This window comes from Homo sapiens, chromosome 1 (assembly GCF_000001405.40).
Source record: "Homo sapiens chromosome 1, GRCh38.p14 Primary Assembly".
Classification (NCBI taxonomy): Eukaryota; Metazoa; Chordata; class Mammalia; order Primates; family Hominidae; genus Homo; species Homo sapiens.
In genome coordinates, this window is record NC_000001.11 from 48,848,537 (window position 1) to 48,874,672 (window position 26,136).

Below are 26,136 nucleotides of genomic sequence, written 5' to 3' on the forward strand. Positions count from 1 at the left end.
ACAAAAGTTAATTTAGATCTCTATAATACAACATTTTTTTTTCCGAAAGAAATGAAAGGGCATTGAAATCGATACCTGCAAAATAACATGCTGATGAATGTTGGGATCCAATTTTCTCATTTTGCTAACTCGAGATTGGGAATTCTGAATAGTTTTCAATCCTGCATTCTTTGGGCACTGTGAAGTCTGCCGTATTGTGTCCACAAAATGCTGCTGCACACTCATTATAGGAGTACCAGTGGTCCTGAAAAGGTCAGTTAGTTAGAAATGTCAACGTTCAATGGAGCCGCACAGACCTGTGTGCGCACAGATCCAATTAGAGTGGCCAGGCAACATCACTGTAACCCAGAATCCTAATGAGCAACTAAAAGAAAGATGGCAGCACCTTTTTCCCCTTTCTTCTTCTTATTCAAAAGAAATGGAGATTGCTTTTCAACCACCCTACATGGGGTTGTTTAAACTTTACCAAACACCACTTAGGCTCCAGGTGGGCTGGGAGGGGAACCCCAGCTTCTGCAAAAGTTAAACCTGCCTAGAACAGCCAGATGTGGAAAGGAAAATAATGAAGAAGGCAGGAGCAGTACTTCAGACTTCAGGCTGGTGGAATGGGTCATCCTTTGCAAGACTTAGGTTGATAGCTGACTAAGACGAAAATGGCCTCCTTATTAAGTTTATTTCTAAGCCCCTGCTATGTGCCAGGCCTTGTGGTAAAAACTGGCCTTTGCCTTTATTTTTTTCAAACCTAAAGCACTGGTACAAGCATGTATAAAGAGTGCATACAACTGCATTTATATATTGGCCGATGTTTCAACAGTGCCTCTCTCTTTCCAATTCATCATAAGCTGACATTTTGAAAAAGTATGCTGGTCATAAATATTATGCTGCAGCAATGTAAAACTGCTATTAAAGTTTCTAAATGCTTTCTCTCAATTTCTATATTTATCTCATTGTGGACAGTTTACACTCTGGCACCAGTCCATGGATGACACTTTGAGTAACAGTGTTCTAGCTACCTCTCCTTTGCTTCTTACCATCTACTCCTCACTCCCACCTTCACTGCTTCTCACTATTTATCTGCTGCTTCTAGGATGACAATCATACTAGTCACCCTTTTCTTGTTCACTCACTACATAATTATTTAAAACACTTTTTGAGACTGGGGGCGGTGGCTCACGCCTGTAATCCCAGCACTTTGGGAGGCCGAAGTGGACGAATCACTTGAGGTCAGGAGCTCAAGACTAGCCTGGCCAACATGGTGAAACCCTGTCTCTACTAAAAATATAAAAATTAGCTGGGTGTGGTGGCATGTGCCTGTAGTCCCAGCTACTTGGCAGGCTGAGGCAGGAAAATCGCTGGAACCGGGGAGGCAGAGGTTGCTGTGAGCCGAGATCGCACCACTGCACTCCAGCCTGGGTGAGAGAGCAAGACTCCATCTCAAAAAATAAAATAAAATAAGAAAATAAAAAATAAAACAGTTTTTGATATTTGTCTTTTGGTACCACAGACTCCACATATAGTGAGAACACTCTCCCAGCAGCCCCTGTCTGGGCTTCAGTGGTTAACTAGCCTGAAATAACAAATAAAAACTCTAGGTAATTTTGTTACAAATGATTCACCGACTATACTTTGAGAACAAATGGAGGATTTTACCTATCAATGGATTCCTAAACTCAACAAGTAGTGATGATCTGCTTGGCTCTAGGCCCCAGGCACTATAGCAACCCATCCCTTCAACTGAGGTGACTTAGCCCTGTTTGCAGCTGTCAGATCCCAGAATCATTCTGGCTTTGTGGTCAGGTAAGGGTAGGGACAGCAGATGGAAGAAGTACTGGGTTAGTAAATTGGTGGGTAAGGTTTGCTGTCTGCATTTGCTCTGACCTTTTTGCCTAATTTTCTGTAGCCAGACTCTTGTCTCAGGCCCCATGACTATCTCATCCCAATACTCATTTCTGCAGTAAATGGCTCATTTGTCCATTCATTTTTTTGTTTGGTTTTGTTTTTGTTTTTAGCCTAGGTCTCACTCTGTCACCCAGGCTAGAATGCAGTGGTGTGATCTCGGCTCACTGCAACTTCAACTTCCCAAGCTCAGGTGATCCTCCCACACCAACCTCCCAAGTAGCTGGGACTACTGGCATGTGCCACAACACCTGACTAATTTTCTGTAGAGACGGGGTTTCACCATGTTGCCCAGGCTGATCTCAAACTCCTGGGCTCAAGCGATCTGCCCGCCTCAGCCTCCCACCCATTCAGTTTTTCTTCTAATATCTCAGCAACCTCTGGATGAACCAGCATCCGTGATTAGGAAGGCAGCTGAGAAATCAGAAGTTCATTGGATTTTGAGTCGGAAAACTTGGGTTCAAACTCTGACTTTTCCACCTAGAAGCCATGTGAACCATAGACAAATCTTTTTATTTCTCTGAGCTTCAATGGCAAAAATAGGACTCAGATGCCTACTTCATATGGTTGTTTTGCTGTTTAAGCAAAATGTTGGTTGAAAAATCACCTTGTCCATTGTAATGTGCTATATGAAAACCACTTGTAGTGGTTGTCATTATTGCGCTATTATTATCGCCCCCTGCAGTGGATACCTTTTTAAAACACTTTTTGATATTTGTCCTGTGGCACCAGAGCCCTTATCCGTAGTGAGAACACTTACACAGCAGCCCATGTCTGGGCTTCAGTGAACTAAATAGCCCAAAGCAACAAAAACCCAGTGGAGAGAAAGTGGTTAGGTTGCCCCTCCTCTGCATCTTTAGGAAGGAAGGAAAGGATGATCCAAGAGATTTTGAGTAAAAAACATAGTCAGGGTAGAGGACTTAGTGGGACCAACACGAGCATGTTTCTGAAACAATCTCTGCTGGTTTAGCTGAGGGAACAAAACATAGGCAGGGGCCAGAGCATGGAAGGGGGTTAGTAATTGGAACCTGGCCTCTAAGACAGTATCATCAAGTGATATGAGATGCTTCCCTATGCACCGTCTAAGGCTGGAACTGAGCCCACCTGACAAACTCATTAAATGGCCCTTGATACAAAAAAGGAAGTCTTATTTCCCCTACAAATAGCTGAAAACCACCAGTTTTCTTTTCATTAATGCAATTAAGAACTCTTCTCTAACAAGCCAGTTTTCTGTATAATCTTTACCAGAAAGGAAATCCTTTGTAAGGACATCCAGCCAGCCATCAAAGAACGGACTTCATCTGGGTTGGGCTGATCCTCCCTCATTTTTTCAGTTTCTAGAGAGAAGTGCATCAGGCTTTTAAGATAATTATTCAGCAACCATCTGGACAGGAGGAAATTGCATGGCAAATGCCAAACATAGAGCCTATTGGCATGTCAGAGAATGACCTAATATCCTGTGGCTAAGTTATTGAGAAAAATAAAAAACAAAAAAAGAGATATCTGTGGTGACCATCCTCAGAGAAGAACTTCCCATAACAACATGAGCATTTCCAAGGTTCTGGTATGTGCCAGATACGTACTTTTTTTTTTTTTTTTTTTTTTTTCAGATACCTACTTTATCTTATCTAATGCTCATGACAGCCCTATGAAGTCAATATTATTAGTGCTATTTTAGGGATGAAAGACTTGAAGCTTTGACAAATTAAGTGTTTTGCCCCAAATCATATCAAGATCAAATGGCAGATCTAAGATTTGAACCCTGGCCTAACTGATCTCAAAGTTTCCACTGCATTTTAGACTTTCTTTTTCTTTTCTTTCTTTTTGAGATAGAGACTCTATTCTTTTGTCCCAGTAGTATTGGGTAAGCACCAGTAATGGCAGGTCAGTAAATCTTGCTAAGACCAAATGCCCATATTCCTCTAGCCTATCCTCCTCACTGTCTTTGATGATGTTTTAGACCAGAGCATGAAGGATGTGTACCACCCTCCGTGACATGCCCATGGGTCCTAATCTCTAGGAACTCCTAATGTATGTACTTGGATCACACTTGCCTGAATTCAGTAGCAGCCCCACACTCATTTGCCAAGTGTGTAAAGAACTGTGATATAAGCTGGAAACTAGACATTGGGGCACATAACCTTTTTTCCTAAATTAGAGAATTTTGCTTTTCTTAGTCCAGCAAATAGAAAATGTTTCACACTTTCACTACCAAAACAAGCATTCTTACAGTTTTAGGTCTACGTTAGGATAGGAAGGTGTAGATGGACAAATTTAGCTGTTTATTCATGGAAAAAATGTAGCTAGATTATTCTTAATACCTTTCTCCAAAATCTCTGCCAATCTCAAAAAGCGAGGCTAGGCAATCTCAAAAAGCCATATCTTGGGAAAAAGAAAATCCTTGGAGAAATGAGAAAAGATAAGTGGGTCTGAAGGAACCAAAGAAGTAATACTGATAATCATAATCATCATCATTATCATTTTGGCGCTGGCCTCCAGGATGCCCCTGAATGAATCTAACTTCCTAGTATTCACATCCTTGTCTAGTTTCCTCCCAGGTGAATAGGGCTGACTTACATAACTAGTAGGACATTATAGAAATGATAGGCTATGGCTTCTCAGCCTAGATCATAATAAACATTTTAGCTTCTACTTTGCCCTATTTTGGATTAGTCACTCTGAAGGAAGTCAATTGCCATGTTGTGACTCAAGCAGCCCCACAGAGAAGTCTATGTGGCAAGGAACTGAGGTCTCCTGCCAAAAGCCAGCACCAACCTACCATCCATAGGAATGAGTCATCTGGAAAGATGATCCTCCAGCCCCACTCAACCCTTCAAATAGATACAGCCTTGGCTGACATCTTAACTATAACCTCATGAGAGACCCCAAGCCAAAACCATCCAGCTAAGCTGTTACCAGATTCTTGACCTACAACAACTGTGTGAGATAATAAACATCTATTGATGTTTGAAACTGCTGAGGTTTAGGGTAATTTGTGATGCAGCAATGTAATCACAGTAATAACTGTTTATTTAAAATCTATGGGTCATGTACTTTACTACATTAGCCACTTTACATACATCACATCTAATCTTCACAAAACTCTAAGAAGTATTATTACTATCTTGCTTTTTTATAAACGGTAAAATGGAAGTAAGGCACTGAAAACTTAATAGGCCTTCCTAAGGCCAAACTGAAAGCAGAAGAGAGAGGATTCGAACATATAACATATGTATGTACTACAAATCAATTACAATGACAAAATTGATCGTTTTTTCCTTTATCCTTCAGATTCCCATGAGGTCTGTCTACCTCATGGCTGGGCTAGGTTGACTATAATTGCACTGCTTCAGGTCACAGCACATTACACTGGCCTACAAGAGATATTCCCTGATGCCCCATAAGTGTAGAGACAGACTTATGCTGCTGCAGACCTTCAGCCTGTGGATTTAGACCTCCATCCCTGAACCAATGAGAACCAGCATCCTCCCAGCTAAAGTTAGATGAGCTCTTATCTCCTCTCAAACCTCATTGTGCAGAAGGCCTGGTGTTATCAACAGAGCTCCTGTTCATAGCCTCTAACATGCATTACATTTACATGTTAATAATAAAGTCCTAGGGGATTTATTGTCATGATTACCTCACTTAATCTTTATTTCATCCCTATGAAATAGGTGCCACCATTCATATTTGATGAAAAACTAAGCCCCAAGGCAGTTTAACATCTTTCATAAGGACAGGGAGCTAAGAAGTGGCAGAATCAAGATAGGAACCCAGGTCTACCTGGTTCCTAATCTTTTACTCCATGATCTTGATTCATAAATAAGGCTGGCATCCTGCTCCATATCTGTTAATCATAGCTCCTAGACTCTGTGGTCTGCTCTCCCCAGGGCTTGCTGCCTGCTCCCAAGATCCTTGGTCACTGGTATGGGTCTGGCTTTAATCAGAAAAGCCCTCCTTAGGTCCAAGATATTACAACCACCTGATGATAAGTCCCTTCACTGCCCAGAGATTCTAGCTGTGGAGCCTCTAGTAGCCTTAATTTTTTGGATACAAGGAGTGAAGCAGAACAGATCCATGTTTGTTCTGCTCTCAGGCTTTATAATTCATATACTTGGCTTAAAATGGCCACAGAGATAGTCACTGCAAAATTTCAATATTGCAAAATTTGGGCCATTTTCAAGTAATGCCAGGCCCCAGTTTATCCCCCAATTTCAGGGGTGGTATTTATGAGCCACCTCTCAGCCAATCGGCACAACAGACTTTCCTGGACATATATACTTGTTCAAAGATGGGTTCATTATGACTCAATCACAGAATGAGAAGTGATAAAAAATTCTGCTAGGACTTCTGAGTGAGTCTCTTGTTTTTCCTAGGAGTAGAATTTGGGAGAATGTAAAGTCTGCAGCTGCTACAGCCATCGTGAGACCACATGTGGCCTGAGAATGGTGTTAATACTGAGAAAGTTGAGTTAAGAGAAGGAGAAAAACAGATTGGGTCCTTTGAGCCCTGTATCAAGATGCACAAGATGTCAGATTTATTTGTGGATTATTCATTTACAAGAACCAATGAGTTCTCTATTTTTGCTTAAGCTAATTTAGGCTTGGACTGAAGAATCCTACTTATATAGTCCCTGTGCCTTAATTTAATTTAGCTTTTGTGTCTTGAATTCAAGTTCCTCTAGGCCTGAGGCCTGCCTTCAGCCTAATAGTGAAGGTCTTAACCAGTTCTTTCCTGACCTGATCTCCCTCATGATGATCAGCTATGGTGCCTTGCGATGCCCTACCTTCCCAGAACTCAGTCCATTCAACTGGATGTTCCAAAATGGGACACCTGATCCCTTCCCAGTGATCAATCCCTTCACTGGAGCCCTGGAATAACGGCATCTTTCATAGATTTCTCAGGACAAATACCTTAGGAACATACTAATTAGTTTGTCTCTCAGAGACCACAAGCACATGTATGCTTCTCCCTGCCTTTATGCATTTCTCAAATTCTGAAGTTTCTTTATTCAGGTTTAACTAATCGTCCGAGTAACACCAATGTGATGTTTTTTGTTGTTGACCTGAGAGATGGAGTTTTTTGGGGGATGGAGGTGGGAGTATTAATTGGTACAATCTTTCCGGAAAATGAGTTGGCAATAAAGCCCAATAATTCCTTAAACATATTAATGGTCTTTGACCCAAAAATTCCATTTCTAAAATATCCAGTAAAAAACTAATATAAAAAAGTAAAAAGCTTTTTGCACAAATAAATTTATGGTAGAGTTATTTATAAGGGCAAAACATCTAGAAATAACATAATGCACAACAATAGAACTTTTTTTTTTGCAAATAAGGCTACAGATAAAAATTGGAACATACTAGAGACTTTAAGAATAAATATACTTTTAAAATGCTCATAGATCTGGTAATTCCATCCCTAGTAATCTATTTTAGGATAATAAACCAAAATATAGACAAAAACATACATGCAGAGGTTGAGAAATTATTCATAAGGTAGAGAAACAAGAATCAAGTTAAATATCCAACATTATTGACATGGGAAAATATTTCTGCTGTAATATTAAGTGAAAAATCAATAGAAAATTTTATATTCTATATGATCTCAACTATGTAAAACAAAATTATACATGCAGAGAAAAAAAGCAAAGAAGTAAATGTGCTAAAATATTAAATAGTCATTGCCTCTGGGAGATAACTGATATTTTCATCACTATAAATTTTCTGTGTTTCTCAAAATTTGTACAATGAGCATGTGCAATTTTTTAATAGAGAAAGTGATGATAAAAAGATGGTGTGTAAACTACATAGCAACATGGAGATTGTTTATGAAATAATGTTAAGTGAAAAAAGATGTATATAAAACTTACTGTGATTGCAATTATGTAAATATGTTTCTGCATATAGACAAGAACTAAAAGGGAAAATGTAAAAATAGAATTCGATTTTGTATTGTGCTAAGGTTGTGGGATTAGGAGTAATTTATTTTTCTTCTCTAAAGATGATTTTAAAGCTGTTTTAATGATGTGTATGCAGTTTTTGAAACAGCCCCTCGGCTGTTAGACCACTATACTGCTAGACTGGCTCTGCAGGTCTCATATTGGCTCTGAAAATGGCCATAAGGCAGTATCTAGTTTGGCCTCTCTTGTTCCCTTAGTCTCAGAAGGGCTGAGTTCAAATCATAGGAGACTTTAATTAGAGAAAAAGCCCAGAGTTGTCATGTACTGGGAAGCAGGATCAGTCCATCACCATCTAAAATAGGTATTGCTTTAACAAGGTTAAGAGGGGATAAAGAACTTTGTGAATATTTGCAGTACGGAATAAACCTAGCTGTGATTTTTTTCTGGAAGTTTCTATCATATTTTAGGAAATCAATTGTATCTTCAGAACACAGCCTCATTAGTGAAAAAAACCCAGTGACTATCATGTCCCTGACATTCTAGGCTTTCTTTATGCCTAGAAAAGTGGGTCAGCTTGAATTCTGTCTGGGGAAGAGGACTGAAAGGGATAATATCACAGATGAAGTGATATTTCTATGCAGCAGTGAAAAAGACAAAGGATTTAGAATACGATTTAGATTTGAATCCTGATTCCATTACTTATTAATTGTGTTCACGTGGACAGTTCATATAATCTCATAGCAGCTTGTTTTGCTTCTCTGCAAAACAGGAAAGATAACTGCCTTATGGTATAACAGGGAGATTTATGTGGAAAATATATATAAAGGGCTTAACCTAGCTCTGACTCTGAGTAGACATTCCTAAATGCTTTTCCTTTAGTTTACTCCACCAAATATCTATAACAATTTGACAAGATGGACAACATAATTCCATGAAGATAGAATAGTCTTCTCAACAAATAGTTCTGTGAAAACTGGCTGGCCACATGCAAAAGAGTAAAGTTAGACTCCTACCTTACATAATATAAACACATTAACTCAAAATGGATCTAATACCTAAATTTAAGAGATAAAGCTATAAAATTCTTAGAAGAGAGCATAGGTATGGGCCGGGTGAGGTGGCTCGTGCCTGTAATCCCAGCATTTGGGAGGCTGAGGCAGGCAGATCACAAGGTCAGGAGATCGAGAACATCCTGGCTAACACAGTGAAACCCCATCTCTGCTAAAAATACAAAAAATTAGCCGGGTGTGGTGGCAGGCGCCTGCAGTCCCAGCTACTCAGGAGGCTGAGGCAGGAGAATGGTGTGAACCCGGAAGGTGGAGCTTTCAGTGAGCCAAGATCGCACCGCTGCACTCCAGCCTGGGTGACAAAGTGAGACTCTGTCTAAAAAAAAAAGAGAAGAGAGCATAGGAGTACATTTTGAACCTTGGGTTAAACAGTGGTTTCTTAGATATGATATAAAAATCATAAACAGCAAAAGGAAAAATGGATAAACTTCATCAGAATTAAACTTTTTGCTTCAAAGAACAACAATAAAGAAGTGAAAAGACAGCACATAAAAATGTAAGAAAATATTTACAAATCATACATCTGATAAAATAGTATCCAGAATATATATTCTGAAAACCTCTTAAATGCAATAAAAAGACAAATATAGTCCAATCAAAAATGGGTAAAGGCAAATAATTAGAATAGACATTTCTCCATAGAAGTAATACAAAGGGCCCATAAGCACATGAAAATACATTTGTTATCATTAGACATCAGAAAAAATGCAAATTAAAGCCACAATGAGATACCACTTTACACCCATTAGGATGTTTGTAATAAAAAGATAGATAATAACAAGTGTCAGAGAGGATGTGGAGAAACTGGAACTGTCCTCCACTGATGATGGGAATATAAAAGGTGCAATGATTTTGTCAAGCAGTTTGGCAGTTTCTCAAAATCTTTATTGTAAAGTTTACCATATGACTAGCAATTCCATTCCTAGGTACATATGCAAGATAATTAAAAACATCTGTCCACACAAAAACTTTTGTGCAAATGTTCATAGCAGATTATTCGTAAAATCCCCAAATGGAAACATCCCAAATGTCCAATAACAGATGAATGAAAAAATAAATTGTGGTGTATCTAATGTAATACTATTTGGCAAGAAAAAGGAATGAAGTATGCTGATACATGCTACAACATGGGTGAACCTTGAAAACACTGTGGTAAGTGAAAAAAGCCAGTCACAATAGGCCATATATGGTATGATTTGATTTATATAAAATGTCCACAATAGGCAAATCCATAGAGACAGAAAGTTATAACAGCGGTTGCCAGGGGTCAGGAAAAGGAGAAATTGAGAATGACTGCCAGTCGGTATGGAGTTTATGTTTGGGGTGATGGCAGTGTTCTGGAACTAGGTAGTGGTAATGGTTGCACAACTGTGTAAATATGCTGAAAACCACTAAATTATCACTTTAATGAGGATTTTATGGCATGTGAATTATATCTCAATAAAGCTGTTATTAAAAAAAGGTATGACCAGCACTTTTAACTTGGTGGGAATATAAAAATCTTTCTAAAAGTATGATAAAGTATATTAGTCATTGAAAAATATTCATGTCATCCTCATTGCAGTGCACTTCCCTATGGGAAGATTGCACATATCTACCCATTTGAATTTATGGTCATATGACCATAAATTCAAATCCTTGCTTTGATCAAGGATATTTAGGCAGAAGTGACGCCTTCTAAGAGTTTTTAAGGGGAGAGTCGTGGCTCCTCATCCCTCCCTTTTCCCTCTGTCACAATGACTAACATGGCAAATGCTAGGCCTCCCCACAATCCAACCTATTTTCCCAGCTTATTATTTCTGGATGTGTTGAATAACTTCCAACTGGCAACACCTGCAAATCCATCCCGAAGGTTTTCTCTGACCCATTGGAATCTGGTCATTGCATACATTGAGCAGATCAGAAGTGTCAGGGAATCAACACCTCCACCCTCTCTCCTGCTCCTTTGTCCCTGAGAAGTATAACTATGTAGCTTATTTTCCACACTGGTTCCATGGGCTCTCCAGTGGGATTAAGTCCCAGTTGCCCTCTGTGGTAGCTTGCTTGATAATGAATCTTTCTCGGCTTTTTTTCTTTTCCTGTCTCACTTCCTCACTCCTCTACCAATGTCTCTGGGATCACCTCCAATTTGCACTAAAGTCTTTGTGTAAAGGTCTGCTTCTTAGTGAACCCCAACTAAGACACCCAGTGATATTACAAATAGAGGATGACTGTTCCGCCTGGCTGCTAGAACACAAAAGATACAAAGCATAACTGGCTGCAGTCCAAAAGGGACATGTACCAAGAGTGAATAAGCCTTTGCTTTTTAAGCTTTTGCAATTTGATGTAATTGTTACTTCAGTGTCACAACTAGTGAATGATGTATACCTCTCCTCAGTAATTCTTATTCTAGGAATTTTTCCTAAAGAAATAGTTAGAGATATAGACCAAAATTTTTATATAAGAATGCTCACCGTGGTGTTATTTGTAATGAAATAATTGGAGACAACAACAGTAATAATATACAACAATAGGGGAATTAAAAATAGAATAGAATGCTTTTTAGCCATATAAGATTCCCTCTTAGAGAATATTAAATAATATTGGAAGATGTTCACACTACATTCGAATAACAATAGTTTATATGGTATCATTCAAATTTCATTTTAAAAATTATATCTACAACTGTGTATACTTGGACAAAAAATAAGTCTCTCTCCTCAGTCTGCTGGTAAGGATTTTACCTGGACAGGAAAAGAATACGGTACTTCCTCATATTGCCTCCCTTCTACTGACGAGGTTATAGGAAAATCAACTTTCTAAAAAGTAAAGAAGAAACTGTAGTTGAACTTCTGGGCCAAACGACTAAATAAGTTCATATTTCAATAAGCCCATTTATTCCCATCAAATAGTAATATTGGATAATATGTGAAAAAAGAAATGAAACTATATTGTTGGGCTCCATTGTGGGAGACATCACCACAAAGCTCAAATGTACAGAAATGCAAAAGGGTAAGTGGTTCTGGGGCTACTGGCTAGCTGAAATCTGAATGTAGAAGAAGACAGTAGCAGTTGGACGTCTGCCTCCTATGGGATAAGGGAGACTAAAAGTACACTACAGGAGATGGGAATCAGAGATAAGCTTCTGCTTAGAGCAAGGACCTTGGGTGGGGCTCTCCTGTCATGAAAGGAGCCTAGAAAAAAAGGCTGCTGCATAACTTTTGGGAGATAGCTCTCATCCATTGTAGGTATAGAGAGGTGAGGAATATAGACTCAGGAACCAGATGCAATGGTTCTGTTAACTTTTTGTCATTGAATCTGCAATATACTCAATATTCCCCAGGTCCTATACTGAAGATGTGGGTAGAGGCAACTGCAAAAACCATCACACAGGGAGATGTGAACACAGTGGGAGTTTGAGGGGTGAGAAAAGAGAAAACCAGAAAATTTCCTTCTCAAAGTGATCTTACAAATTAAAATTTCAAAACACATGAAGAAATCGAATGCTAAAAATGATACTAAACAAAATCAACAATTGGAACTTGAATTTCCTCCAGATGAAACTTATTTTATGGAACAAAGATTTTAAAATAAGCATATTGAGGATGTTCAAAGAAACAAATGAAGACATTAAAACTGAACAAGAAATTATGAAACAGAACAGGCAGAAATAAAACAAGAACAGGTGGGTATGAATAAAATTAGAAATCTTGGAAATGAAAAAACATAGTCATTGAAATATTGAAAGAGACAGAAAAAAATCTAGACTAGACATGGTCAAAAGTGAATTTATAAATGCAAGTTACTTGTGAGGAATTCAAAATCAGTGCAGTAAGACAAAAATAATAAAAGTTATGAAAAATCAATTAAGAACCATGGAGGGCTGCTTAATAGCATCTAGCATTTGTCCAATAGAAATTGTTGAAGAGAGTCAAAGGAATAAAGGATAAAAGCAATATTTGAAGAGTTAATTTGCCAATAATTTCCCTAAATTAAAGAAAGACATAGAATCTTAAGTGAAAAGTATACTCAGAGTATCAAGCAGGATAAATAAAAATAAATTCACATCTAGACCCAACAAAGTGAAAAGGCAAAACATTCAGATTAAAAAATAATATTGAAACCTGCCCAAGAAAAAAATAGGTTACCAAAACAATTATATGATGGCAGACTTCTCATCAGCAACTATGGATCCCAGAAGACAATGAAAAAATAGGCATACTTCTCCACTGTGAATTCTACTGCTGTTGCATCCTCTATATGGGAATGCAAGACAGGCTTTCCCAGTGACTTTCCAGACCTTTTACCATAATGCAACAACTATCATCTATAAGTCTTGGTACTCATCAATATTTTCAACTCCAAATAGATCAGTTTCATTCTGACACCCAATGACTATGCCTCCTTTCAGCAGGGAGTAGCCAGAATGAATATGGTGACAACCAAATCCCAACAAAATGAAATGGAACTTGGCAGTGGAGAACTGATTGTAATGGTGTGCCCCCATTTTCCTAAGAGATAGTTTATTTTTCTCTCTCTGTCTCTTCTTTTCTCATTTCCCTGGTTTCCTACTTCCTACTTAGCCCTGTAGAAATGCAAATATAATATTTTACCACCCCTTCACCAGACACTCTTTACAGGGCAAATTTATCTAACTATGTGCCTAGAAGCTCCAACAAGGAACTCCTTCCCACCAGGAGACTGCCTTGAGAGATCACAGTTGATTCATAACTCAAAGTCCCACTATAAAACTCTCTCCCACCTGGGGAGTTTTCAGCCTACTGCTGCCCATGAAGGCACAAGCAGTCACCAGCTCAACTGCCCGGTTGATAAGGCACCAGAGCTAGCACATGGACCTCCCCAACCTGCTCACTTCCTCCCCTGCGTGCCATTCTCCTTTAAAAGTGCCGGCTTCTTCCCCTAAGATAGTTTTGGGATTAAAAGTCACTTTAAAAAATTTTTTATATTTTTTTGACAGGACTTACTTTGTCATTCAGGCTGGGTGATCTCCGCTCACTGCAAGCTCTGCCTCCCAGGTTCACGCCATTCTCCTGCCTCAGCCTCCCGAGTAGATGGGACTACAGGCGCCCGCCACCACGCTCGGCTAATTTTTTGTATTTTTAGTAGAGACAGGGCTTCACCGTGTTAGCCAGGATGGTCTCTATTTCCTGACCTCGTGATCTGCCTGCCTCAGCCTCCCAGTGTGCTGGGATTACAGGTGTGAGCCACTGTGCCCAGACTAAAAGTCACTTTCTTTATACCAGACTTCATTTTTGTTAACTGGACTCTGCAAATGGCAAGTGACTGAACCTGCATTTTGGTTACATCACTACACATATACATCACTACTGCATTTTGGTTACATCACTATCCCCAAAATGTACTGCTGTTTTGCATGCTTTTAAGCTTATATAAATGGTATTATGCTCCAAACAAAGAAAAAATCCTTAAAGTTCAAAGGAACATCCTCCTCAAACTCAAATTTATACCCAGCCAAGTTATCATTCCAGACAGAAGTCAAAACAAGAATATATACAGATTAAGAGGGTTACCATGGACTCTCACTAAAATAGCTATTAAAGAATGCACTTTGGTAAGGTAATATAGGAAAGGCTTGATATACAATAAACAAAAGAATGCAAAAATTCATAAACTATGTAGGAAAAGTCAATGAGCTAATAATAATAATACATTGTTTTCCTTTTTCCAAAAAGTTTAACTTAGTCTAAACAAGAATAACTAGGTGACAGTGTTCAATAGGTGGTTAAAGCATGTAAGGCCTTTATGTGGCTGAAAGAATGCTAGAAAGTCGCAGTAACTGTAGACTTTGTTGTAAGAAAATGTATAGCTAAGTACATACCCACATATAACCAGTTAAGGTTAGAAATAAAATAGATAGCATCCAAATCCACAGAGAATGCAATAAAAAAGGTAACATATAAAAATGTTTAAAAGGCAGAAAAGAAATAAAGTGAATGATAAACAGAAAACACAAATATGGTGGTAGAAATATGTCTAAATATATTAGTTATTATAATAAATGAAAATACATTAAATTCACCTGTCACAATATAAGGATTATTATACTGTATTTTAAAAATTTAATTGTTGCTTTCAAAAGATAAGCATGAAAGGCAAAGGTCCAAGGGTATTTCCCCATAAATTATTAAGATGATATGAAAATTAGAATTTATTATAAATAAGACAATGTTGAATCGATGCAGAATTAAGCGTGGTAGGCCAATGCAATAGTATCGAGAAGAAAATAGATTTTGTATATAGTAAAATTGATAGATGACAGATGTGTAATTACTAATGGGTAGAAATATAGACTAGTGGTTTATGGTGCTGAGACAATGGGTTATCCATACACACACAAAAAAATAAATTCCTATTTCATATACAAAGATCAGTCCTAAATGAGACAAGTAAAGACCCAAGTGTGACACAAAACTTGAGAAATTTTAGAAGTAAATACAGGAGAATACGATATTTAGATAGGGAGGATTTCTTAAATAAGCCACAAAAGTAAAGCCTATAAAACAAGAGATCGATAAATTCAACTACATAAAAAAATTTTTTAAAACCTCGCATATATCAAAACACATCATGGAAAAAATTTAAAAATACAAGCCATAGTCTGGGAGAAGACGTTTGCAATGTATATAAGTGACACAGTACTGATACTCAGAACAATAAACTCCTAAAAATCAATAAAAAGAGACAACCCAATAGAATACAGATAAAGGATATGAAAAATCAATTCACAGAAGAAACCAAAGTGGACAATAAAGATATAAAAAGATGCCCTATCTCATTAGTAATTAGGGAAACATATATTATAACAGCAATAAGATACCATTTCATGTTCATCATGACAACTGGCAAAATTTATAAGTCTGACAATTTCAAGTGTTAAGGCTGCAGAGGAATGAAAACTCTTACATTCTGCTATTGGAAGAGTAAATATGTTCAATTACTTTGGAAAACAATTGGTCATTATGTAGTTAATTTGAAGATGCATATAATTAATAAATCATTTTCCCTAGAGAAATTCTCATACTCATACGTAAAGAGACATGCACAAAAATGCTCTAAGCAGCATTATTTGCAATTGCAAGTGGCTATAAATAACCTAAATTCTGATCAATACAATGGATAAATTGTAATTCAATCATATATGGAATATCTAACAGCAATTAAAATAAATGAAGCAGAGCTATGTGTTTCAATATAAGTGAATCTCTACAATATAATCATGAGTAGGGAAAAAGTCATAGAATGACATTGATAGTGTGATACCACAGGAATTTGTAAAGCAATACCAGTTACATTTTTTGATACAAAGATAAGGAAAAACATTGAATTCATGACAGTGCTTACCTGTAGGGTGAAGGGACAAAGATGTATTAGGAAGGAGTATAGAATAGTCTCAGTTACATTTATAATTTTCGTCCAAAAATAGGTGACTCTGGCATATAAGACACATGTTGATATGACAAAGCCAAGGGGTTGGCATGGGGGCAATAAATGGCTGTTCATTATATCGCTACTCTTTTCTGCATATTTGAAATTATTCACAATAAACAAAATAAGACTTTAAAGAAGGTATCAAGCAGATTAAGGCTTTCAAATTCCTGGTCAGCATTTCAGAAGGCTCCCAGTCTATGACTGGCCACATCACACTGCAGTTCTGTTGTTGAAGATGGTCTGGGGAGGAGTTCAGACAAGCCAGTACCTCCTACTGGCAGCGCAAGAAAGGTAGCAAGTTGATTCCTAGCTGCTGCAGCTCCTGGTGAGATGTAGAATGGGGGTGAATTTGATAGCACAAGATAGTGAATGAAAGTCCTTTTGACATGGAATAGAGTCATCCAGATAATAGCATGATCCAATGGTGCTTCCTAACCTTTCTAAGTCATGGCACACATTGATAATATTTGTCTGACACATTGGAGTGGAAGCTACCACCTAGGGGGCTTCAGTTGCGCTAGGTCCTACCTGTGTCCCTGAGAGCTGAGTGAATCGGTATCTCACAATATCACACAAGTATAGCCCATTTGCAATACACCAGTGTGCCACAACACACCTTTTGGGATGCCCTGGCTCAGAATTTATTCTTTTCACATCTAAGAGGAGGGATAATAATGAACCACTCAAAACTCCGGCAGTGCTGATTTTTTTTTCAATCCCAAAGCTGTCTAAATGGACTGTACTAAAGAGTCACACCTACTTTGCTTGCATTTGTGAAGTAGTAATTAGGAACAGAAAGAGGTTGTACAAAAGAAATGCACTTAACAGAGCCTGAAGATTTCCCCCTAAAGCAACTGAAGACAGATCAACAACTCTCTCCAATTCATACTTAGCTATCATATCAGGGTGTGACCTGATAAACTCAGATGTGGAAGCAGGCAATATGGACAGTGTATTGTGGAGTAGAACAGGATGCAATTAAAAGCAATTAAACTGTATCGGACATAGATAATCCCTCACCACCACCTTAGGAGGAATTGGTAGGTCATACAAGTGAGCCACTCTAGTCATGTCAGCCCAGGATTTGGAATTTCTATATATGTTAATCATATATATGTTAAATGTAGATCATTCTATGGAATAGAGTAAACTTTTTTTGAACTAATTCTATCTTTATTCTTCAGAAGTCTCAAGCTCAAAGAGTTCTGTCAGGTATAGAACTATAGTAAGGTCACCCAAACTAGTGGCTGCACCTTACAGTTGCAGTCACTTTTTTATACCCTAGTTATGTAGACCAGATAATTGCTAGGATAGTGACTACAGAGGGCAATATCTCAGTCTCTTTGAAAGTGAGGCACTGGCCCATGGATACAGCATGGTAGGCTTTGTGGAGGGAAGGGCTGACAGAGTTCAGCCATGCTGGTTACTAATATATTGAAACATATCCAAATGTATTGGTAATTAGTCATCCCCTGAGACCCACAAACCTGCCGTATGACCACTGTGCCACACTAGCTCCTCCTCCAGAACCCCAACTCCCCACAGTCCAGTAACCAAAGTGTTAATGCCTAGCATAGCAGATGGCTGTTAAATATTTTGAATATCACCCATGGATGAAGATAACCACCACATCAACTCTCAAATGCTCACTAACCCTGCTGGCACCATCATCCCCATGATCATAAGACAGAACAGTACCTCTTTTTGTCCAACTTTGCCTTAAGTTTCCAAACCAGAGTAAAATACCTCTCTGAAAGAATTAAACTGCTCAGCCTCTTCTAGGCCAGATGTCAGCTATAGAGGGGAAAAAAGACCTTTTAATCCCATGGTCATGGTCACAGCTTTTTGGGTGGACCTGACCTTCCCTTAAAAGTGAGAGACAAAAGTTATCTTGACCCTCTACACAGCCAACCAAATCTGCTCACTTTCCCAGACTGGCCCAATCTTATGAGCCATCCTCCCTTCATTCTATGGCACCTTCCAAGCAGATTCTCCATTCCACATGATTCTAAAACTTATTTCTCAGGGACTGGGAGACTTCCTTGACACGTGGGTCCAATGAGTGATTTGGAGAGAACTTGACCCTAGAATATGCAGCAACATCCAGAGTATCAGCCCTGCCACCCATAGTCAAGAGGAGGCAGCACAGGGCTGGCAGGGAGAAAATAAACTGCCTGTGGAGCAGAGGGTAGGGGAGGAGAAGAATCATTCATGGTGCAAGAGTTCTGCCGTTCATTCAGGGAGCCAAAAGAGAAGGGCAAGAATTGCATTTGGATAGGCAACAAGGCATCATTCAAGAAATAAGGGAAAAGCAAAGGCAGAAGGGCCACGCCTACTCACCAGGGCTGGTTATCGTCAGGAGGTCAAGCTTTCGTTGTTGCTGCAAAAGAAAACACACTGTGAGGGCACTGATTTGAGCCAGAGCCAAAATTGTGCTTAGCAGGTCAGGGCGGACAAGCAAAGAGGATGTTGGGACATACTGCAGGGTAAATCATACGGAATGTGGTACTCACTTCCAATTCTGCAGAGAGGGTTTGTACCCTAGAGACAAAGGGGGATGGATGGGCTTTTTGTTTGTCTTTGGAAGCGTAGGTGGTTAGAGCTTAGAGGTCTCTCAGACAAATTATACCATACTTATGGAAAATGAGGCCCTGAGCAGAATGTGGCTCACCTAGAGCCACAGAGAAGGTCCCTTTCCAGTTTCCCAGTCATGGGCTCATTCTTCTGTACCAGATAGCTTTAGATTTCCCTTTGCTTATACTGGCTGCACTGGTTGAGTGTCCGATATATTGGCAATGCTCTTTGCCTTGAGTGCCTGTTGTACTGCCACCCTCCAGATACTTCTTTTTAACCAAGATATTTCTAGATTGGTTTCATTCTTAAGTCTGCTCATAATACTATAACAATTTCAATTAGTGATGACCAACCATTCCTTTTCTAACTGAATCCTTATCCTTTTTTACCACACAATATTCACACAGAATAATATTTGTCTAGCACACTAGGCTATAGGGATGAGGCAGCTTATGTTTGGAAGCAACTGGCCTTGGATACCCCAAAGCCTGAGGTGATCAATATCTCAAAAGGCCTGTTCCCTATTACAGCACAGCTACTGTCCTAGACTGGATGCCATGAAAACCTGAGGGTAGAGAAGTGGGTACAGGAGGCTGCAGCTGGTGAAGTGGTGAGCAGCCCTTCTAAAGACTTGAGTCAGGGTTCCTTAAGTCCCAGTCCTCCTGCTGACCTCTTTCTCTTTCCTACACTTGATTTTCCCTAAATAGTATTGGAAATCTCTGTTTCTGTTTTCTTAAAAGAGGTCCAAACAAATTCCATTTTGAGAGTCATTGCTCTAGATTACAAATTGCAGGAGCTTTCAATCACCTAGTATTTTGTGCAGTGGAGGCCTTGCTATATTTTACCTCCCCTGCATTTCCCTCTTTATCTTGCCTCTATCCAAGAATGGCTTCCTAAAATTCTGCTTAAGCAGAAAGGGGAAGGCAGAAACATTTTAAAATACTAACTGTGGTCAGGCACAGTACTAAGTACTTTGATGTATCAATTTTTTTCATACTCCTGGCAATTGTACAGGAGAGAAGGACATGATATTTAGAGGGGAGAAACTGTCTGTCCAAGACATCTTCATTAAATGGCAGGGTCAGGATTAAAATTTAGTCAGTTCTGATTCTGACTCTAGAGTCCAAAATATGGCAATGAATATAAATAATCTAGCATGATGCCTGGTACTTAAAAGGTTCTCAATAAAAAGATCTATGCAGTATTGATGTTGTTATTATTACAGAACATCTGATCCTTGGTTTATGTAAGATGGCTCTTACTTTTTCATGAATTTTACTTATTTAAAGTTCAGAGATTTGACCTGCCACGTGGGCAGGGACCCCCTAAATGTCCCCACCAATTGTATAAACTGCTTCTGTTTCATCTTCTTTCTTGGTAGAGAACCCACTACTTTTTTTGGTTAGACAGGTCTACTTTGAGCAAGGTTAAAAGCTGCTTCCTGATGACACAATCACTGTTTCTAGCTACTTCAGTCCATGACAATAGTTTGGAGAGCTGATGAAGATCTGTGTTGTCTTCTCTCCAGTCTAAATATTCCCAGGTCCTTTGTCCTTTACTCATAAGACCTGGTCTCAAATCTCCCTCTCCTCAGGGTCACCCTCCTTCTTCATTAACTTTGATCTGTTTCAGTCAAAATCTCTGTAAGATTTCTCTACCCCTTGCTTCAATGACTTCTCATGTACCTAAAAGGAGGTCCAGATCCCTCCAGTGCCTTCTCAAACACACATACCTGTTTTCCTGCCAACTCATAATTCATTCCAGTTGACACTTTCAAGCAAACAATGCAACTCTAAGATGTCACTAATCTACACAGTAAGAACATATCCTAGCACTGATATGAAACACCCACCCACGCATGTGGGCTAGAAGGAACGCTGGAGCCAGACCTTCTTCCTTCCCTAACACGGAACCAGGCCAGTGGGACATCTGGCTTAAGCTGCCTTTGCCAAGGTCAACCTATGTGGCTTGGCACTTTCTTCATACATAAGGGAAGAATCCATCATGTCCTTTTTTCATACACTTGACTTTGTGATGATCACAGTTGGTGAAGATGGCCTATTTGTCTGAAATGTATTTTTTTCTAATTAAGAACTATTGCTAAACGGCAACTCTGTGCCTAGGATTCTTTAAAGAAAAAAGGGAAGAAAAGCTGACAGAGTCAGACAGGCCTGGGCTTGTGTCCTGGCTTTCTGTCTCTGGCCTCAAACTTGGCAACTCTAAAATGAGCAAGTGAGACTGAAATGCCATCAGTGACTGGGAGCCAAACGCAACCAGGTAGTGTGCTTACAGGCTCCCTCTTCTGGTGTAGAACTCCCTGAGAACCTGTAGCCAGCACACTGGGGGCTCAAAGGACAGAGTCAGATTTTAAAAGGGACCACATTTTCAACTATCCTCTCACATTTTAATTTTCTGTGCATGTATCAGTCTTTCTCACTAGATGAGGAGCATCTTAAGGGCCTAGAACACCTATTATTAATTTTAGTAAAATCAGTACATGTCACAGAGTACCCCTCAGTAAGTATTGGCTGAACTCAACTGAACTAGTCCCCAAATCCACAGACATTATCCTTTCAAACCTCCATGCCTTTGCTTATGCTATCATCTCTGTCTACCCTCTTGAAATCTTCCTGAAGATTTCAACCTTCCTGAAGATTTCAACCATGGAAACCTCAAGATTTCCATGAAGTCTTCTTTGAACACCACCTCCCAAACCTAACCACTTTATCTCCCTTCCTCAGAACAGAATTTCACACTTTGTTCTTCCAATGCATCTTGCAAAGCCTATCTCACTAGGATCCTCAAGTAGGATCCTAGTGAGAAAGACAATGAAGACAGTATCATGTACTGTCTTCCTTGTCTGTCTTTGTCATGTACTGTCTTTCTCACTAGGAGAAAGTATCATGTACCGTCTTCATTGTCTGCCTTTCTCACTGATCCTACTTGAGGACAGGGCTATGTCATTTCACCTCTGTGTCCCCAGTTCCCAGAACAAAGGTCTGGAAGGAATGTTTGATGTCATCTAGCTCAAATAAATGTTTCAACTATGCTGTTATGCCTCTGCAATGACCCTGTTGATTAGGAATTAATCAGCATGGAGAGTAAACATGCTCTTTCTTTTCCAAGACTTTTCCCCTGCTACATCTTTGGGGTTCTTTGCCTTTAAGATTTTGCTCCTGCCATGTCTGTAGCCAGGAATACTGTCAATCCATCTCCTCTGGGAGGGTTTCCCTTCTTTACTGTTGCCCAGAGCATTACTATCTCTCCCCACTCCTACAGCTCCTACTGTCTGTACCACCTCTGTGGTGATAAATTAACACTAACCTGGTGATAAGCCCCTTTAACCCACCGATCACTGACATATGTGTGCACCACCTAGTGGCACAAGCAGATATGCGTAGGCTGTTGTTTTAACCTCTAGCTCTTAAAACAGGATTACAAAACCTGCATGTTCTAGGTGCAAACGAAAACAAAAGTGTATGTTCCAGAATGACTCTGCAACAATTTTTAGCTAAGAAACTGGAATATTTAAATAATTCCCTCAAAGTCATTCAAAAATAAAAGGACTGAAATGAAGTGAAAATTTTCCTTACTAGTCTACCAGGCACAATCATTTGAGATTGCCAATGAAAACTATGTGGCATTTGTAAAAATAGAGCACATGGTTTATAGAATTTGACCAATAATGTACAATCAGCCATATACAGAGAGGGGCATGTTGGACATAAAGAATTACCAAATTATTATAATTGGTTGCCAACTGAGAGAGATAAGAGCCTTTAATATGGATGGTAGGATAGGGAGGAAATGAAGCCAGTAAGGTAGGTGGCAGGTTTAATAGGCAGACAGGGCCTGATGACTCTTGAACCACTTTCTGACCAAAAGCTACAGTCTAAGGAAGGCAGAGCCTTCACATGTGTAGTAGTGGTTGTGTGTGTGTGTGTGTGTGTGTGTGTGTGTGTTTGTGTGTGTATGTGCGTTTGGGGTCGGGGAGAGGACATTCATCTCAGACAAAGAAGTTCCACATTTGGATGGAGGAGAATGCATCCAAGTGTGCCTGTGTGGGATTCTATGGACTACTGAAGGAATGTGGGTATGCCAGCGTTGGATCAATCAGGAGTAGATATGTGGACTCCTGGCTGTGTATGACCCCTGCATCCAGCCTTCCCTGATAAACATGGTGCCCCATGGACATTCAGAGGAAACCAATTTCTTTGCTTAACCACTGTGTGGTGAATGCTGAGTATGACCTCATAAGGACAATGGAGGGTGGGGATTCTAAGGTCAGCAGGAGTAACCTCTGAATTGGGTATCCAGGGATTGCCAGAGTGTCTATAGTGGATGCTTGAGGAATTGTCCACCAGCACCCTTGCTCCAGGAATTATCCATTATTCCCCCATGCATCGAGTGAATGCTGTTATATTAGTACCATGTCACCCCACCTCTAGTCACAGTGGACTTCTCCAAAGGTAGAAGTCCTAAAAGCTGGGCTAATTAGACACCTTACTCAAGAACTTTGGACCTTTTCTGGATTCAATTATTCTCTCTGAAAACTATAGTTGTCCTAAGTTAAAGAACCTATCTTTAAAATTTTCATAATTATGAAAATCACACATGCTGATTTTTGTCATTTTCCAAATTTCCAGAAAATTCAGAGTAAAAGTAGAAAAATTGCTTTGAGTCAACTGCAACCAAGAACTGGGAATATTTCCAGAAAATTCAGAGTAAAAGTGAAAAGTAATGAAATCCTACCACTGAAAGAGAACCATAGTTAATATTTTGGTGTATTTTCTTATCATCTTTCTCACTATGTGTATATATTTAATGATATTGTATTTATATATAATAAATGAAGTACAAGTCTAATCCTGTGCAACATTATGTTCATATAATTTTTCATCCCAGGCTGCATCTTTGTTTTGAAGTAGGAGAGTGTAAGTCACATATATTTATGGTCATAGCTAATACATTTGATCTTACAACTGTGATTTTGTTTCTAATCTTTTTCTTTTCAGGGAAGGTAGCATTAATCAACAAGATACCAGTAGGATAAACACTTGCTTATTTTGTCACAAGGAGCCAGTTTGAAAAGCCCAGCTACTGCAGCCTACCAATATAGATAAAGCCTTCTGAATCTGGGAGACTCTTCAGGCAATATTCAACTTAGAAGATACTCTTTTATTTTTTCATATCTGAAGCCCCTATGATTGCAGTTACAGAAAGCATTAAAAACAAACAAAACAAACAAACAAACAAACAAACAACCAAGAAAGCATTCTGAAGAGTGCTGGATTCAAAATCAGACAGACAAAGGTGAATTCTGATTCTATAACCTCTGAGCTCTGTTATCCTAGGCAAGTTATTTAAGCTAGCTGGCAATGAGGTACTCAGCCATAAAAAGAGCGTACGCCAACCCCCAGGGGCCTAACAGGAAGGCGAAGCAAAGAGAAAAAGGAAGAATCACTCTAAACGGGGGAGCAACAGGCAGAGTGGGGGAATGCACTGGTTGAATACTAGGATTTCCGAGTGCTGGCTACATCTCTGTGTCACCTCAGGCTGAGCCTTTGGGCTTCTCACTATCTGGTACCTAGCCCTTTACTATGGCCTCTTAAAGCTCTCCCAGTTTCTAGTTTTCTTTCCTACAGGTCATCCTCCACACTGCAGCTGGAGTGAGCTTTCTAGAATGCACATCTTAAAACTCATCAGGATTCCTATAAGACAAAATCTTAGCCTTAGGTGGCTTTTGGAGGACTTCTATAACCTGGCTTTTGCCTTCCATCTCTTGTCCTCTCAGACTCTGAGCTCTAGCTATGATCAACCACTTCTGGTTGCCAAATTTGCCGTGCTTTCGTCATTTGCCTTTGCACATGTTGTTCCCTCTAATTGGAACAACAACCCCATACCCAAACTAGTGAGGAACTGTCTAACTAATTCCTGCTTGTTATTTGGCTCTTAACTCACGCTACCTCTGCTGTAAAGCGTTGCTTAACTTGCCAAGGCTGTGCTAGATCGGGTCCTTCCCCTGTCCTTCCCCATCAGAGCACCATCACATTGTATTTCCGTGACCTCCTCACTCCTCCATCCTCTCTAGTGGTTGTGTGAGTTTCCTGAAGGCAGGCGCTGTGCCCTCTTTATTTCTCTCCTCTCAGGGACTAGCCTAGCACCTGACCAACAGATAATGCTCAATTCAGATTTGGTGATTACTTGCTCCCAGGATGGCAACTAAACAGGGTCCCACTGAATTGGTCACCAAAAGAGGTCTTTAGTTTTACCCCTTGTCTTCCAATAGGCACACATCAACATACCCATACAAAACTCATGCACTACCCCCATAATTTTTGTGAAAACTCTATTTCTGTCTTGGGGACCCAGGAATTGGACCACAGAGAATTTGGCCTTCTTCATCTTGATGGGTAGTTACGAGTCTATGGTTAAAAATTCACTTTTCGTTTTGGTCACGACTGCATTGCAATTACCTCCCAGAATGAGAAGGGACGTGTTGTTCTGGGAGCTCAGTGGCTGGTTTGATGTGTGGGGTTCTGCGTGGTAGAAGAGAATAGTCACTGATTATGTGTTCTGTTTTGCTTTCTGTGTTTCGTGCAAGATAGCTATTTGGGGAAAAGTCAGTCTTTCACAGCATAGACTGGAGATGATTTAAATAAGAACACCAGTAATCCCCAGGCATTCTCCTGTCACTCCAGAAGCCAGCCATCGGGGGAGGACTTGGGGATCAACACTCTCCAGAAACAGGCGCCACAGGGGCATAAGCACACATTTGGCTTCAGGGCTCAAGCCCTTTCCTTTCCTGTAACCCCTCCCTTCTCTGCTCAGTTCATTCCCTCCCCCAGCCATAGTCACTTTCTAGGCATCTAGGGATCCCATGCCCTGCTCCCTGCCCTATCCCCAAGTGTAGCCTGCTTCCTGGATATATTTTATGTGGGACAGGCCTCTCTCCAAACTCACTGCTTCTAATCTCTCTTACTCCAATCTAGCCTCTTCACTGGCTATAGGACTGATCATTCTAAAATTAAATTTGCTCTTTTCTTTGAATAATTTAATGATTCCCATTGCATTTTTGGGAAGACTAGATTTCTTAGTTTGGCATTCAAGGAGGGTGCCAAAAATCTCCACGAGTTGTATGTGTTATTTGAAAAAATAGTTTTTACATTATAATATTTACATCCAAATATTACATACTTGGAAAACAAACCAAAAATACCTATTATTTTCAGAACCAAGTTTCAGACA

At 39.5% G+C, this 26,136-nt stretch overlaps 1 protein-coding gene across 10 annotated transcripts in view; it reads right to left on the reverse strand.

Annotated features, from left to right (window-relative positions):
• Positions 1-26,136, reverse strand: part of AGBL4 (AGBL carboxypeptidase 4) — a 1,501,444-nt gene that overhangs the window by 326,026 nt on the left and 1,149,282 nt on the right. For 8 of the 10 annotated variants that reach the window (NR_136623.2, XM_017002595.3, NM_001323575.2 and 5 more), the window contains one exon: positions 18,655-18,694. Coding sequence is in view for 9 of the 10 variants with exons in the window: in XM_017002595.3 (XP_016858084.1) it covers positions 18,655-18,694 (40 nt within the window). In the remaining variant the exon portion in view is untranslated. Of the gene's footprint in view, positions 1-9,728; positions 16,637-18,654; positions 18,695-26,136 lie in introns of those variants that run through there. The other 2 variants (XM_017002598.3, XM_011542310.3) reach the window with 2 other exon arrangements.